At 54.5% G+C, this 17,061-nt stretch overlaps 1 protein-coding gene and 1 pseudogene across 3 annotated transcripts in view, besides 1 other annotated feature; both read right to left on the reverse strand.

Moving 5' to 3' along the window:
- The window catches only part of TNXB (tenascin XB), a 68,186-nt gene that overhangs the window by 37,309 nt on the left and 13,816 nt on the right, over positions 1-17,061 (reverse strand). For 2 of the 3 annotated variants that reach the window (NM_019105.8, NM_001365276.2), the window contains exons 4-11: positions 16,615-16,730; positions 10,762-10,918; positions 10,324-10,587; positions 7,289-7,657; positions 5,952-6,248; positions 3,575-3,865; positions 2,907-3,212; positions 572-904 (exon numbers count right to left, since the gene is read on the reverse strand). In NM_019105.8, the coding sequence (NP_061978.6) occupies positions 572-904; positions 2,907-3,212; positions 3,575-3,865; positions 5,952-6,248; positions 7,289-7,657; positions 10,324-10,587; positions 10,762-10,918; positions 16,615-16,730 (2,133 nt within the window). Of the gene's footprint in view, positions 1-571; positions 905-2,906; positions 3,213-3,574; positions 3,866-5,951; positions 6,249-7,288; positions 7,658-8,789; positions 9,531-10,323; positions 10,588-10,761; positions 10,919-16,614; positions 16,731-17,061 lie in introns of all 3 variants that reach the window. The other variant, NM_001428335.1, reaches the window with a different exon arrangement.
- Positions 47-167, reverse strand: RNA5SP206 (RNA, 5S ribosomal pseudogene 206; annotated as a pseudogene).
- Positions 3,147-3,662: an enhancer, noted in NCBI's record as "H3K4me1 hESC enhancer chr6:32049385-32049900 (GRCh37/hg19 assembly coordinates)". NCBI's record gives its function as "activates a minimal SCP1, AML or CMV promoter by ChIP-STARR-seq in naive H9 embryonic stem cells {active_cell/tissue: H9 hESC(naive)}" and the evidence as "EXISTENCE:reporter gene assay evidence [ECO:0000049][PMID:30033119]".

Here is a 17,061-nt window from a genome sequence, read left to right on the forward strand (position 1 = left end):
AAAAAAAAAGACAAGAAAGAAAAGAAAGCTTGCTTCAAGCTGTACTGATGAAGAGGCCAATGTCTCACGCGCATTCTCCCATCCAAGTACTAACCAGACCTGACCCTGCTTAGCTTCTGAGATCAGAGGAGATGATAGGACACCTTCAGGGTGGTATGGCCTTAGATTCATGTGCATTCTGACCAAGTAACTGAACCAGCCAAAGGGGACAAAGCAGACCTCAGAGTAAGAATATTTATAACAATTCTCACAGCAGACACTGGCAGCATATTTACTTTTGCCAGGCCCATTCTTGATGCTTTACATCTGTTAACTCACTTAACCCTCACAATAACTCTGTGAGGTAGGTGTCCCCATTTTACGGACAAGGAAACAGAGGTGCAGAAAGTTTAAAACTTGCTCAGGGCCATGAAAGCTGGTGGTACGCCAGTCCCCAGTGACATGCTCTTTCTAGGTCTTCCCCTGGCAGGCAGCCTCAAGGTTCCACTGGAGCAAGGAGAGCAACTGGCTACAGGGAAGCTGGGAGCCAGCAGTGGGAGGGAACCAAAGCAGGCCCCTGCCCCTCACTCACCTGTCACGCCCACGGCGGACACCGGGCCCACGCGCTGCCCCTCGTGGAGGCCGTACAGGTGCATCTTGTACTTGTGCCCGGGCTCTAGGCCTCCCACGGTGACCTCACTCTCCTTGCCCCCAACACGCACCGCCCGGGGCCGCCCATCCCTGTCCTTGTACTGCACGGTGAAAGAGTCGAAGCTGCCCTGGGGGACGGTCCAGAAGAGGCTCAGCGAATCAGGGGAGGATCCTGTCACTGTCAGCTCCCCCAGGAGCGGCTCCTCGGGGGACTCCGGGGCCTCCGTGCCCAGTTCTGTGGGGCTGGGGGTCTCGTCCACATCCTCCTGAGGAGCTGAGAGAAGAGATAGAGGCATAAAGGGCTGCTGGCTTTGCTGCTGCTGCCCACAGATGACAGCCATGGAAATGCCCTTACGCTGTGGGCTCAGGGGCTCTGTAGCCTTTGTATTTGCCATTCGGTCACTCACGGATGGAGAAGGCTGAGACAGCCCTTGCCCCATCCTGCTCTGGTGGGTTCTGTGGGGGTGAGGGGTCTCCCTTCGTGTCTGAGAAAGGAGCTGAGATGGGAAGAGAGGAAGCCTCTGAGGGTTCTTCCAAACCACGTTCACTGACAGTGCTGACCTCAGACAGTGAGGAGGGCAGTGAGGCCTCTTCCTACCTGTGCCCTCCCCAGGGCACTCTGGCTGCCCCACCCCTCATATGAGGATCTGACCATGGAATGTGCTCTTGCTGTGGCCTCCCCAGGCAGCCCTGCCCCTCCCTCCCCTTTAACCCCAAGGAATGAATTGCTAAGGCAGGGCTCCAGGCATGAGTGGGAGAAAAATTCTGGGGTGAGTGGGATCCAAGGAGAGACATGTCCTTCCCTGGCTGGCTCTGGAATCACAGCCCTGTGGGCACCTACCCGCCCCCTACAGTTAGGTCTCTGCTGAGGCTCCATGGAGTGGGGAGACTGTGGCACAAGGGAAACCAGCCCTTCTGTGACCTGCTACATGGGGGACTACTTTGGGATAGCAGATTGAGGAAAGAATTGGCAAGAATGACAACCCAGAGGAAGGGAGGGAGGTGGGGAGCAAAAAAGATTACTGGGAAGTGAGAGAGTCAGGGAGAAATTGCAGCTCACTCTGAAAATGCTTTGCTGCTCCAAGCACTATTCTAAGTGTGTGGGCTTTTTTTGTTTTTGTTTTTGTTTTTTTTTTTGAGATGGAGTCTCACTCTGTCGCCCAGGCTGGAATGCAGTGGCGCGATCTCGGCTCACTGCAAGCTCCGCCTCCCGGGTTCACGCCATTCTCCTGCCTCATCCTCTTGAGTAGCTGGGACTACAGGCACCTGCCACCATGCCTGGCTAATTTTTTGTATTTTTAGTGGAGACACGGTTTCACCGTGTTAGCCAGGATGGTCTCGATCTCCTGACCTCGTGATCCACCCGCCTTGGCCTCCCAAAATGCTGGGATTACAGGCATGAGCCACTGTGCCTGGCCTTTCTAAGTGTTATACATATATTAACTCATGTAATTCCAACAGCTCTGTGCAGAGGGACTGAAATCCAGCCACCTGACAGAAGGGAAAGCTGAGGCACAGAGAGGTTAAGCAATTTGCACAAGGTCCTACAGGAAGTAAGTTGCAAGGCTGGTAGTGAGACTCGGGCAGTTGGCTCCGGAGTCTTTGCTCCTAACCACTATCCACACTATCTCTCATCAAATAATTCACAGGCCAGGGGAATGGCACTGGACAGGGAAAGGCTGGGGACATGGAGGAACAGGCTGGGATGCTGGGCTGAACACAATCCCTTTGCCCTGTTCCAAGGGGGCTGGGAGTCAAGGAGTCGGGAGCTGAGAGGAGTCCTCTTCATGCTGCAAAAAGGCTAGAGAAACGTGGTGCTCTTGTCACTTGGATCTGCCACCTCTGAACACAGCAGAAATGGCAGGAGGTTGTGGGCAGCAGGTGACAGAAGCCCAGAAGTGACCATGGCCCAAACCAGACCATGAAGGAGCCCAGTAAAAACTGAGGGGTGAGAACACAGTGACCGAATGGTGAGGACATCTGTGGGGAGGACAGCCCCAGGTGGAAGGATGAGTCCAGGTGTTTGGAATGGGGGAAAATAGGACCTGCCCTTGGAGATGAAGAAGTGAGGCTGAGGAAGAGATGAGGAGGTGGAGGCTGGATGAGGGGGACCTGGCATGCAGAGGACAGGAGAGCAGTGCGGGAGGAAGTGGGTGGAGGCTTTGGCAAAATGAGCTGAGAAGGCGAAGATGGAGGGAGGCTGGAAGGAGCCCCAGCCAAGTCCCGCTCACAGGATGGGGCTAGCAGGGGAGGGAGGCCTGGCAGCCATGACTCACCAGTCTTGGCCACCACAGACTCGGGCCCCACACGCTGCCTGCCACGAAGCCCGTAGAGGTTCATCTTATACTTCCGGTCGGGATCCAGGCCGGGGACAGTAACCTCATTCTCATCCCCCGCAACAGGCACTGCCTGGGGCTGCCCCTGTGCATCCTTGTACTGGACCATGAATGAGTCGAAGGGGCCCTGGGCCACTGTCCATGAGAGACGCAAGGAGTCTGGGGTCACGCCGGTCACTGTCAGTTCCCCCAGGAGGGGCTGCTCCAGGAACTCAGGGCGGGGGGGCTCCTCTTTCCTCTCTGGAGCTGTAAACAAGGAGATCCAGCCAGGTGCTGAACTGGCAGCCTGGGACTGGGGCTTGGGGTTTCGACGGGATGTCACACCTATGGGGGGTGGGGGGTCACTAGTCCATTAATTCGAGTGCTAAACTTCTGGGAAGCCTGACACAGCCAGGGTATGACACACCTTCTGGGCCACGGGGAGCTGCTGCTTGGGATGGAAGGGGCCCAGCAGTGCGGGGGAGTCTGGCTGCCCCTCAGCCCTGGAGTGGGGCCGGGAAGCTGGAGTCAGCTGTCTTGCTGGGGGACCCCAGCTGGTTTTGGGCTGAAGGGAAGTGTGCATGGGGCTGAGAAGGGGTCACATGGGGGCTGAGGTGGCTGCTACTCACCAGTGGTGCCATCGGCCGTGAGGGGGCCATACCGCTTCTTGTTCGCAATTCCAAACAGAGTGAATCTGTACTTGTGGTCAGGGTCCAGTGAGGAGACAACAAATGAACGCTCGGGCCCTTCCACAGGTACCACCTGGGGCCGTCCATCCCTGTCCCTGTACTGGACCATGAAGGTGTCAAACTGGCCCTCAGGGACAGTCCAGGAGAGGTGCAGTGAATCTGGGGTAGGGTCTGTCACCCACAGGTTTCCCAGGTGGGGTGGAGTCCCTGGACTTGGGTCACTCTGAGGCACTAGGAAGAGTGGGTAGAGAGAAGGGAGAGACTTAGGTCCAAGGAGAATGGGGAAGCCAAATCCCACATAGGAATGCTGTGTGAGGCTGTGCAGGTTGTTCACTGCACAAAAGTGCATTTGCTGAGGGAGTACAGAGGGACTGAAATCCAGCCAGCACTCTGCTTGCCGAGCTGTGTGCCCTGGTGAGGAGTGGTGTCCACTTTAAGGAATGGGTGCCTTCTTTCAAACGGCATGGAAGCACTGCGTGGACTAGTGTGGCTCTGCCTCCAACCACAAACCAGAGCAGCAGGGAGCTTCAGAAAGAGGGGAGCCCAGCCAGGCCCTTTCACATCTCCATAGCCAGGGAAATCTTCCCAGTACAACCTCCACTGCTTCCAAGCCTAACTACTAGCTGGCTTCTTCTCCAAGAGAGGAGAGCACAATCCTTGAAGCGTTTTAACGTGGGACAGCCTCCCTCATCTATGCTGCAGGCCTCTCCTCCTCTTTGGGAACTTTGACCCATGGATGGACTCCCTCGCCTGCAGCACTGACCCTTCACTCCCCAGCAGCTGTGCCATCAGCATTTCAACAAGCTACTGTCACACCCCTCCTCACCCCCACTCTGTGTGCATCTCTCTCTAGCCTCCATCTTCCCTCTTTGCTCTCATTCCCAGCCCAGATTCCAGAAAGTGATGTCTACACTGATTGCAGCCATGTCCTCACCTCCACCACCCTCCCGATCCAGCTCCACCCCTCCACCAGGCAGCAGCTCTCATGCAGGCCAGGGGTGGCCTTGCCATTGCTAAATTCTGTGGACGCTCCGTAGCCCTTGAATCACTGTTCCGGAATCTGACAAGTCCAACCGCACCCTCCTTCCTGGAGTCCAGACAGCACCCTCCCTGGTTCTGCCCCTCCCTGCAAGTCACTCCGCAAGCTACCCTGTGGGCTCTTCTTCCTCTGCCTCCGCTGTGAGTGTAGGCTGTCGACAGGGTTCCAGTGGCCCTGTCTCTTCCCCAACCCCACACGACTACTCTGGTGCCTCAATTCTCCTGACCTATAAAGTAGGCATGCCTCCCAGGTGTGCTTTATGGGGTGTGATGATCCACTTAGAGAACATCTTGATCACAACTGACTCTCAATAAATGCACAAAAGGTATTTATGTAAGTGTCTCTTAGATATTGATCTAAGTTTATCTAAGGCGTTGTTCCCCACCTCTGCTGCTCCCTGCCTCAGGGAATGGGACTGTCTCATCCAGAACCCTGGGGGCTGCCTGGTACACCTTGCTTTCCTTCGCCTCCCCCATCCAGCCCCACTGCCACCATCCCAGCTGACCCATCATCATTTTTCTTTTTTTTGAGACAGGGTGTTGCTCTGTGCAGAGTGTGGATAGCACCCAGGCTGGAGTACAGTGGCACAATCATGGCTCTCTGCAGCCTCGGTCTCCTGGGCTCAAGCGATCCTCCCACCTCAAGCCTCTCAAGTAGCTGGGACTACAGGCACGCACCACCACGCCTGGCTAATATCTTTTGTTATAGTAGAGATGGGGGGTCTCACTATGTTGCCAGGTTGGTCTCAAACTCCTAGCCTCAAGCGATCCTCCTGCCTTGGCCTCCCAAGGTGCTGGGATTATAGGCAGGATCAACCCTGCTAGCCTTTACCAGCTCTTAACTCACTTCTCCAGCTAGTCTCAGCAGCCACCCGGTTATTTGCAAGATAAATATCTAGTCTCATCACTCTCCCACTTTACCCTTCAGAGGCCCTCTAGGGGCCTTCGAATGAGGCCCAAGCCCCTCAGCACAGCACAGGAAGCCCTGAGACCAGGCCCTTTGGCACCCCCCACATGCCCTGTTCTCCAGCCAGAGGAAACTGTAACAGTGATTCTCTTACTGGCCATGCTCTCCCCACCTTACTCACCGTGACTCCCTCAGGCTGCACTGAGCTTCTCAAACTCTTTGCCTGCCCCACCACTACTTTCCCTTCAGAATTCAGCTCATGCACCACTGCCTCCAGGAAGCCTTCCCGGAGCTCCCAAAGCAGGTTCCCAAAGCACTGAGAAAACCTCTTCAGGGCAGTACAGAGGGCAGGGTGTTACTGCTGTCACTCACAGATCTTGGCTTCAGCCACCAGCGGACCATGCCTCTTCTTGCCAACAAACCCATACAGGACAAATTTGTACTTGCGGCCAGGATCCAGGGAGGTGATGACGGCCGAGCGCTGGGGTCCTTCCACGGGCACCACCTGGGGCTGCCCGTCCCTGTCTTTGTACTGGATCACGAAGGAGTCAAACTCGCCCTCGGGGACCGTCCAGCGCAGGAGCAAGGAGTCGGAGGTCCTGTCTGTCACCGTCAGCTCACCCAGGCGTGGTGGGCCTGAGGACTTCCCAGGCTTCTCCTCATCCTTGTCTGGAGTTTGAGAGGCAAAAGCAAAGCATAGTGGACTCAACCGTTCTCTTGTCTGTGTCTCCTTCCCTCTCCCCTGCCCACCTCACTCCATCCTGGATAGATCCCTCCCCGGAAGACTCTATCTGCCCACCCCTCAGTGACTAGCTCTTCTGGAAGAGGGGCATTTCCCTCTCAATCTCTGCTTCTTCCCTTGTGACAGTTTCTCCATCCCTCACAAGGTCTTGGTCTCTCTGCACACCAGGATCTTTGCGGGGGTTTCAGGTCCCCCTGGTTCTGAATGAGAGTTTCAAGCCTCCCTGCTGCAGCATCAGAGCAGTCTGAAAGCTCCTCTGCCCACCTGAGCTGCTGTCTCTCTTACCACCCTCTCTTCCAGTGGTGAGCTTGACCTGGAGCTGGGGGATGAGTCAGCCACCCTGGTCCCACAGAGAGGAACAAAGAGGGGATGTGAAAGCCAGGTACCCCAGGACCTGTCTTTCACTGGTCCTGCAAACCTCATCCATGTCTGAAGTCCTGATGGCTGTGGAGCCCCCTGCCCCAAGGAGCCTTCACCCCCAGCAGAAACTGGCTGATGGGACCATGGACTGCTGTCCACTGCAAACCAGGCTCCCAGGGACGAGGTATTGGGGGCTGAGGGTCAGTGTCCAGAGGCCTTCCCATGCCCACCCTGAAAGATTTATAGGGCAGGGAAGGGCAGAGGAGCAACCGAAGAGTGGGGGCAGGGGACAGGGCAAGGAAAGCTGCAGGTGGAGGGCCAGGGACCTTCAGCCTCTCTCCTGGAATCTCTGTCCCACCCTCGGCCTTTTTACCTCTGCCTCTTTCCCCTCTCCCCACCCATCCTTATCATTGTTTTAAGATCCCCCTCGATCCATCTTCCTGCTGAACCTGCAATTCCTTTTCTCTCCTTTTCTCCTCTATCCAGCCCCAAACATCAGCCCTGCCCTTCACTGGCCCCTCAATATCCATCCTACCTCTGAAGTCCCAATAACCCCAGCTCCTCCCCCAATCTCAGGATATTGATCTGAGCAGAGTCCAAGATGTACCCATAATGCCTTGGTAGATGATGGGGTCAGAGGGCTTGCCCCCAGGAGGGACCCCATGAAGTGACAGCTCATACGGGGTTCCAGGAGGGGGTGGAGGCACCAGAGCCTGGCGGACGTCCCCTGGCAGCACTTCCTCATGTGCCCCCGGCCCCTCGGGCACCCGCATGCGCAGTTGGAAGTAGGCAAAGGTGTCAGGCTGGGCGGTCCAGACCACACGGAGGCGCCCTGTCTCATCTCTGCCCAGCACCCTCAACTCTCCCAGCTCCTGGGGGCGCTGCTGCAGGAGAGGAGCCTGGGCCCCTTGCGTCGTCGAGGGGCCTGAGGGAGGAGGCTCATCGGTAGTCCCCAAGAGGCCCAAGGGTGAGGACCCTGGGAAGGGGCAGGGTGAGAAAAAGAGGAGAGTCCAGTATGAGAACTAGAAAGGAATCCCCAGTCCCCAGGTTCTGCCCTCCAGCCTCTAAGAGCCTTGTTCTACTTCTACTTCTGGTTCCCTCACCTGGGCCACTCCCTCCTCCCAAAGGTCAGCCAATCCTCCAAACACCCCCATCTACCACATTCCTGAGCAGACGGGCCTGTGCTTCAGGCAGGTAATAGGTAAAATAAAGCCTGCTATCCTTCACCCCACAAGGCTTCCATGACCTCCAGCCCCCGGAGACTTCCATGTCCCTCCCCACATACATCCCCCCCACTGGGTGGTGGTCAGGTGGCTTCCATTAGTGCTGCAGTGAGAAGCCTGGAAGAAAGACAGTGGTGTTAGAGAGGGAGGATGCAAGAGGAGAGTGGGCAGTGGGAAGAGAGAGAGGGTGTGGGGGTGGACATCCAGGTCAGGTGGCATCTGGGCCCTATGGGGGAAGAAGAGGTCCACCACCCTCCCCACAGCAGCCACAGGGTGCCCTTTCCCCAAGCCCAGACATCGTTCCTGTGGGAGAGACCAGCATAAAGTGAGCCAGGGGGTCTGAAAAGCCAGCTTAAGAAGCAGTGGTTTCACCTCCCCAATATACAGTTGCTGCCTGATGGCACCCAGGCCACCCCCACGCAGTTCTGATGTGTCCCTTCAAGGTCAAGGCCAAATTGTGGAAAACAGTAACCACTAACCACAGTCTTCAGCCACTCTCACCACAGTGAGTCAGAACGGGAATCACTGTTTTCAATTCCCAGCCCACTCAAACTGCTCCAGTGAATCTTTGCAGGTGCCCCAACCACATCACCCTCTATTGCCTAAAATAACAATCCTGGAAGTGTCCCGGGAAACCCCAAAGAAGGCGCTGCCTTGACCTTAGGCATCCACAGGATGGATGCCAGGACCCTGGGGTGGGGACGTCTTCTAGGGACAATGGACTCGTGCTTTGTCCTGGGGGCCCCCTGGAGCCCCGGCCAGGTAGGGCCTGAAGGTAGAAGGGGGCAGTGGGGGGTGGCAGTGGGAGGAATTCATGAATGCAGGCTCCAACGGCAGGTGAGGCTGGACAAGGGATAGGTGTCCCGTGGCCCCAGCCCACACTACCTGTGGTGGTGATGAAGGCGTAGGACTTGGAGGTCTGCCCCGCCCGCACCCCGTGGACCTCCACGTGGTAGGTGGTGCCGGGCCTGAGGTCGGGCAGGCTGACGGTGCGCGTGGTGCCCGGCACAGTCAGCTCACCGCCGGGGCCCTCTGCAGGCGGCTGAGGCCGCCAGCGCAGCACCACGCGCTCGAACTGGCCGCGGAGCCCGTCGAGAGACACGAGAAGCGCGCCATCGGCGGAACTGCCCAGCACCTCTGGCTTGGGGTGGCGGGACGCAGCCACCCGGTCGACGCCTTCAGGCGAGAGGCCGTAGATTCCCTGGTTGGAGTCCCGTTTCCTGGTGCCGGGATCAGGGCTGGCGGTGGGGCGGGGGTGGCGGGGCGGGGGTGCGGGGGAGCCGGCTGGGGCGGCGGCCAACAGACGCCGCTGCAAGTATTCATGGATGTGGCGCGCCACCGACGTGTAAGTCTGGTTGGCCCGCAGTGGGTAGCCGTGAGCCCGCAGGTGGCGCTCCAGGTCCTGCACCGTGCCGCGGAAACGGCTCAGCTCGGCCGTCAGGTTGCCCCAAGGCCGCCGTGGGGGCTGGGACAGGCTTGGCCTGGGCGGGGACTCCTCCTCCCTTTCCTCTGCTGGCCTCGAGGGCCAAGGGGGCCGTGGGGGCCGCGGGGCTGGGGCTGGCCGGGGCCGGGACTTGGGGGGCGGGGCTGGGGGGCGCACCTCCGGGTAACTGTAGTGGCCTGGTGCTGCCAGGGGCAAAAAAGGGGAGAACAGGTCAGTGGCAGCTCCCTCCCGGCACTCCTTCCCGCGGCAGCCCCTCCCTCGATCCCTCCCACCAGAGCCAGAGGCCTCTTCCCTGTGCCCCAGCCCCACCTGGAAAGAGAACGGAGGGAAATCGGTCAGTGTCCCGCAGCCCCCCCATTCCCCTCCAAGCCCACCACTGTTGGTGCCCTAGAAAGAAGAGAGAAGCCCGTGGGTGGGGCCCTGTAGCTGAAGGAGAGAAAGGGGAGTCGGGGAAGAGAACATGAGCTACAGCGAGGTGGGTGTCCCCCTGTCACAGGAAAAGAAAAATATCCAGGTATCTGTTAAGAAACCTCGAGGTTTAGTGGAAAATCACTGCTGTGAGACCCACCTCCCAGCAATCCCAATCCAAAAGTCAACAGGACTGATGATCTCTAATCTGCCTAATTCCAGTCCCACAAGATCTATCAGCACAAGGCCTGTCCCGGTACCTAAATTTAAAAAAGAACCTCCCTTAACTGACTGGATCAGGCAGCATCTCCTATTCACTTCTCTCCCTGGGGCCATTCCTTTCATAGGCTAACCTGTAATAACCTTCCTACAGGACTCCAGGCATCTGAGGGCTCTGTCTCCCCAGTGGCCTCAGGACAGAGCAAGGCCCCCAGCAGGTGCCTCGAGACTGCCACACACCTGCCAGAAGCATTCAGAGGAGTCTGTGAGCCCTGAGCCTGGGCTCCTGAGGAGGAGGATCCAAGGCTGGGAAACCAGGGCCCTTCCCTAACCTCTGGCCAGCCATACCTGTGTTGGCCCTGACAGAAGCTGGGTAGCTGACTGCCCGGCCCCGCTCCGCTGTGACAGTCACCACATATTCTACGCCTGGCATCAGGTCAGTCAGCAGCGTCCCGTCTGCTTCAGGGGGCACTTCCAGCCTCACCCTCTGGTTGCCGGCACTGACGTAGGACACCACAAATCGGTCCACCTCAGCCTGGGGACGCAGCCAGCCAAGCTCCAGTGTTGTCGGTGTCACAGCCACCACTCGGAGGTCCTGGGGCCCATCGATCACTAGCCAGGTTAAAGAGGAGGACTCAGGTGGGTGTCTGGTTCTTCAATCATCATCTTTCCTTCCAAGAGCCTAGCCCCCATCCAGCCCCTTCCTTCTGCCCTCCCGGAGGGCAGATTCCCTCTCTAGTCCAGATCTCCACTCAGGACACCCCTCCCCACAGCCCCAGCTCTCACTGGTGGTGATGGTCTTGGAGGCAGGAAGGCCCCAGCTGGTCCCTCGAAGGGCTCGGACAGTGACCTGGTACTCCTGTCCAGGGGCCAGTCCTCTCTGGTCATAGGCTGAGGCAGAGCTTGGAACCCGTGCTGTGAATGGGGGGCTCGCCCCCTCTGTCTGTGAGAGAGAGCACCAGGTGGCTCAGGGGCTGGCACTCTTGCCTCTGCTGCTCAATCCCCCTTATCTCTTCTTTCTCCAATTCTAAACAGTGTCAGCATGGTACTGTGTGGAACTTGACCCTGTACAAGCTGGGGAGCAAACATGCTGAGAGCGCTAACTCCTTGTGAGCCACTGTTCTAGGCGAGGTACACACATGAACTCACTTAATTCTCACAACAACCCTACGAAACAGGTCCTATTAGTCCCATTTTACAGATAAGGAAACTGAGACACAGAAGGACAAGTATCTTGCCAACGTCACCAACACCAAGAAAATGGCAAGAATTTAGGCCCTAGCAGTGTGATCCCAGAGTCCCCTCTCATGGGCACCCCCTATTTATCTGTCAGAGTCCCCTCTCATGGGCACCCCGTGTTCATCTGCCAGAATTCCACCCAACATGCACCAGGACTCTCCCTCCAGCTTTGCCCTGGCAACTCTGACTACCTGGGCATGAGGAGCCTTTTCCTAAGCTTGGTCCTGTCAGAACAAATGAAGTAGATCAAGGATGCCCCTTCAAGTTGCACTTTCTCCTTAAAGGGTCTGCCTCACCCTGAACCTCCTCGTAGATGCCTGCTCATGGCTGTGTAACAGGAGTGGGACCCGCATCACAACCTTTCCCTTGAGGGACTTTTCTTGTCTCTTCACCCGGGTTGTAGGCTCCTCAAAACAAGAACCACCTGCTCAAAGTTCCACAAATATGTTTCCTGATTGTTGATTTTGTACCTGGCATCATGCTGGGCATTGGAGACACAAAAATAAAATATATGGTCCCTGTCCTCAGGTAGCTGAGACTCTAATAGCTAAATGTATGGCCACATCTTGAATATATGAGATACTTACAACAATCTCTATGCTTAGCAAATGCTTGTGAGAAAACAACACTCCTACAAGTGTACATTTAAGGAATTATGATTATGTGTGGTGCCTCCAAAGGGAATCTACTGGACCCTGCTCCAGGCAGGGTCTCCTGGAATGCCCACCACTGGGGAAACAGGAGGAACTGTACATCTGTGAGCATTCTAACAGCCCCACATTTTGCTGTGCTGTCCAGCTAGGACAGCCGCTAAGGATGCTGTGTTCTGCCTAGCTATGTTGGCTGTGATGGGGACACCTCCATTCAGCCAAGTAGGATTGGAAATTTCAAAAGGTACTCTCCTAAACCAAGAGAACTGTGGGGAAATCAACATAGTAAATACCGAAGTATAAAACCAGATGAGAAGGCCACGTAGAGATTTCTGGGTTGAGGATGAAGTAAAGCTTTGTCAGTTTTCTGGGTTGAAAAGTTTTCCTGGGCACATAGGACCTCCAGCCCTCTCCTATTCACCCTGCCTTAGAATACCCCAGCCTAGGAAGCCTTGGGTTGGCCTCAACTCAAGACCCATGAAATCCTTACCCTTCCCAGAATTTATTTGTTCATTTTCTCTGTGTGTGTGTATGTCTCTTTCTCTTTATCCACACCCACCCCATCCCCACAGCCGCAATACACACACCTTGGATGCTCCCTGATGATGTCTGGTTCTTTCAGTGAGGCAAGCCTATCCCCAGAGTTCTCCTTCTCCCTATATATATCCTTTAGACACTTCTTGGTTCCTCCTGAGATCCATCTGGGAACAGTCCCCTGAAAGTCCATCAACCTAACCCATGTCTCCTACGTCTCCTAGCACCATCTTACTGGTCTGAAGCAGGCTTTCTTTTTTCTTTTTTTGAGAGGGAGTTTTGCTCTTGTTGCCCAGGCTGGAGTGCAATGGCGCGATCTCAGCTCATCGCGAGCTCCGCCTCCCGGGTTCAAGCGATTCTCCTGCCTCAGCCTCCCGAGTAGCTGGGATTACAGGCATGCGCCACCATGTCCGGCTAATTTTGTATTTTTAGTAGAGACGGGGTTTCTCCATGTTGGTCAGGCTGGTCTCGAACTCCCGACCTCAGGTGATCCACCCACCTCAGCCTCCCAAAGTGCTGGGATTACAGGCGTGAGCCACCACACCTGGCCCTGAAGCAGTCTTTCTAAACAGATGCTGGCAGCTGGCTCTGCCCCTTGGTAAAGCTTGGCTGCTTCACTGATTTTTTTTTTTTTTGAGACGGAATTTCGCTCTTGTCTCCCAGGCTGGAGTGCAATGGCACGATCTCAGCTCACTACAACCTCCGCCTCCAAGATTCAAGGGATTCTTCCTTAGCCTCCCAAGTAGCTGGGATTACAGGCATACACCACCATGCTCAGCTAATTTTGTATTTTTAGTAGAGATGGGGTTTCACTATGTTGGTCAGGCTGTTCTCAAACTCCTGACCTCAGATGATCCACCCACTTTGGCCTCCCAAAGTGCTGGGATTACAGGCATGAGCCACTGCGCCTGGCCTGCTTCACTGATTTTGTTCTTGGGAAGTTTTAGAGTTTATCTCAATATTAACCTCGTGGCTCCAGATGAACTCTACCTTGGCTGGTCCTTGGAGCTTATCTCACCCTCATTGCTGTTTTTAGACTAGACCCAAGCAAAAACTTCTCTGAGGCTGTGAGGTTTTGAGTCCCAGTGAACACTTAGCCTAGCCCTGATTTCCAGGCTGCAGGACACACCCAGACAAGGAATATCTGAACCTCTTTCTCATTCAGGAACTCATCTCCCTCAGTTTCCCCATGCTTTCTCTCACATTCATAGTGGAGCTAGCACTTTGCAAAATAGCAACATTCCTTCACTTAGGGGGCCTCAGGCTGGAGGGGCATCAGAATCACCTGGAGGGCTTGTTGCAATACAGGTTACTGGGCTCTGTGCCCAGACTTTCTGACTCAGTAGATCTAGTGGGGGAGTCTGACAATTTGCATGCCTAACATACTCCCAGGTGATGCTGATGCTGCAGGTCCAGGGAACACACTTTGAGAACCACTGAGTCAGAGTAACAGTGCCACATATACAGGGAGAGGAGAAACTTTCTTCTTCTGCATTCTGAAAAATAATTCCAATAACTAGGTATGTCCCTTGATCTGGAATAGCAGAGTTTGGGCTTTGAGAGAGAAGTGCTTCTGGGAAGAGGGAAGGTAAGAGGTAGAGATAGGCTTCTAGGATGACAGCAGCAGCCAGAGGACAGACAGCTATTGAATATACTCTGTACCCACAGAAATGGACAAAGGGTAGCTGGGCATTGTGGCAGGTGTCTGTAATCCCAGCTACTTGGGAGGCTGAGGCAGGAGAATCGTTTGAACCTGGGAAGCAGAGGTTGCAGTGAGCCGAGATTGCGCCATTGCACTCCAGCCTGAGCAACAAGAGCAAAACTCTGTCTCAAAAAAAAAAAAAAAGAAAGAAAGAAAAGAAAAGAAATAGATGGCACTTGCCAAGGCAGAAGGTACGATGCCAGGGACCAGCTACAGACAGCAGAAAGCATGGTCTGAGGGTGGGTAGCCCAGGCCCAAGAGGAGTGTCTGGGGACCAATTTTACAGGAGTGTTTTCCACACCCAGGCTCAGAGAAGACCCAGAATGTGACAGATGCCCATACCGAGAGCAGAATGGATGAGCTAAGAACATGGCCAAGCCTGGCACAGGCCAACTTGGCACCACCATCCTGGCTCTGAGTGAGGGAGAAAGTCTAGGGCTTCAACTGGAAAGCGGCGCCCTTGACAACACCAAGGATCGGTTTGTATTTATTTACTCAGAGCAGGAGACAACTGCTGCCCTAAAAGCTCCTCTTATCTCAAGTGTTTATTTTAATTCTTCTTTCCCTGAAATTTCTTAAGAAACTTCCTTTTCGAAGTCCCACCCTTTCAAGATTAGAGCTATGTAAATAATATATACAGAGAAGAAGAGAGTGGGAGAAACACTTTAAAATGTTAGCAGTGCTTGTTTTAGTGAGGAGCAGCCAGGAATTGTTTTTCTTTTCTCTAGTTGCCAAATTCTTGTCTCGTGATTAAAGTATTTTTATAACAACAACAAAAAAAGATGTTTAAACAGAAGAAAAAATTCAAGCTATCTTGGTTGCGCCACGAAGTTGAGATTTCTGCTTCTGCTTTGGCTGGAGAGTGAGGAGAGGCAGAACATAGTAGGGGGCTGGCCTGAGGAGCATAATGACAAGACAAAGCAAAGTGGAGTGAGGATGACAGTTCCTCTGAGCTGTCCCCTTCTGTCCTAGTGCCTTCCGAGGCTTTAGGCCCAGGGAGTTGTTTATTTTTACAGAGTCCTGGCTAAGCTGATGAAGATGAGGATGACATGGCCCACACCCCATATGGCATTTGTGGGATGATGCAGGAAAACATGAGTTGGATGGTAGAAATGTCAGAAGATTTGCAGCTGGGGAAACGACCATATCTTAAAAGCCCAGTCTGCACAAAGGGAGGCCCCAAATAAGTGACCACAAGGCTTTGTCCTTAGGGTGTTCCCTCTAATGTTTTAAGAGCAAGTTGGATGGCCAGGAGTGGTGGCTCATGCCTGTAATCCCAGCACTTTGGGAGGCTGAGGCGGGCAGATCACTTGAGCCCAGGAGTTCAGGACCAGCCTGGGCATGCAACATGGAGAAACCCCGTCTCTACTAAAAATACAAACATTAGCAGGCTAAGGTGGTGCACACCTGTAGTCCCAGCTACTTGGGAGGCTGAGGTAAGAGGATGACCTAAGCCTGGGATGCAGAGGTTGCAGTGAGCTGAGATGGCACCACTGCACTCGAGCCTGGGCCACAGAGTGAGACTCTCTGTCTCAAAAAAAAAAAAAAAAAAAAAAAAAAAAAAGAGCAAGTTGGAGGGAGACAGAGAAAAAACTGGTTTGCATGTACTGATGACAAGGAGGTGGGAGATGAAGTTCACAGACTCAAAATTATTGCAACAGCCTAGACAGCTTGGCCCAAACCAAAAAAGATAACATTGAACAGGGCCAAATGCAAAGGCCTATATTTAGGTGAAAAAAAAAAAAGTGTATATAGTTGAATGTTGTCTTCTTTCCTTCCATCTTTTTTCCCTGCTAATCTGTATTTTCTAAGTTTTCTGCACGGGGCCTATATTACTTTTATAATTAAAAGTTACTTAAAAAACCAAATATGACCAAAACAGCTGCCTGCTTGTGTGACTACAAATTGCTATACGCCAGCTCTGAGAAAAGTGTCCATAAATTCAGAGTAAGTCAGTGGGCCCCTCTCTGTCCCCACATTTTGGGGGCACATGAAAAAAGCAAGAATCACAGGAAGGTAAAGGATTCAGAGAATAAAGACTTAGGGAAAAGGGGCGAAGAAACTGGGAGGTTTTGCCTGAGGAATGAAGACATCAGGCTGGTGTCTCCAAATACCTGAAGGCCTGTGGTGTAGGACACAGGGAAAGCAAAAAACATTCCAGCTGCTGATGAATACCCAGCTAGGGCCAACGGACAGGTGCTAGAATAGGGGCAGACGGATTCTGCAACAATGATAACAGCTAACAGTGATGACCAACAATGGACTGGACAGCCTCAGGAAGTACTGAGCTCTCTGTTACCAGGTGTTCCAACTGTGTGGGACCAATGCTTGCTGGAGATGCTGCAGAGGCCTCAGTGCCCAGTGTCAAGCAGGCTAAGAAAGCCTTTACAGCAGCTTCAGGTACCCAGCCATCTGGACTCAACCAATGATCACCTGGAACTTCCTCCAGGAGGTGAGCCCTGCCCCCCTGTCCTGCCCACTCAGTCCCCTCCTGGAGCCTGGCATCTCTCTCACCGTGGGGATGAACTGAATTTCATAGGCATCCACGGGGCCAGGAGCCGGGGTCCACTCTGTCCGAACTGTTGTCTCCTCCAAGAGATGCATCCTCATGCCCTCAATGGTTGGCACCTCTGCCCAAGAGAATGGGTTAGGGAAAGCTGGTTAGCACAAGGCAACCACCCCCACCCACAGCCCCTTTTACTCAGGGACATCGAAGAGGCCCATCCTAACTCCCACTCCTCTCTGCTAGTGGAGAATAGCTGACAGAGGGCTGAACGGGGCTTGGATCGCCTTCACCTTCTCTCCATCTTCAGGAGCACAGAATCTCCCTAAATGCAACTAAATGGGCCCCAACCTGCTCCTCAGAGATCTGAAGGCCAGTCCTGCCCACTGGAAAGCCCCACCCCTGTGGTTCTGCTGCCCCTGGTGGGCACTGGCTCCTTGGAATGACATGCTCTCCCT

This window comes from Homo sapiens, chromosome 6 (assembly GCF_000001405.40).
Source record: "Homo sapiens chromosome 6, GRCh38.p14 Primary Assembly".
Classification (NCBI taxonomy): Eukaryota; Metazoa; Chordata; class Mammalia; order Primates; family Hominidae; genus Homo; species Homo sapiens.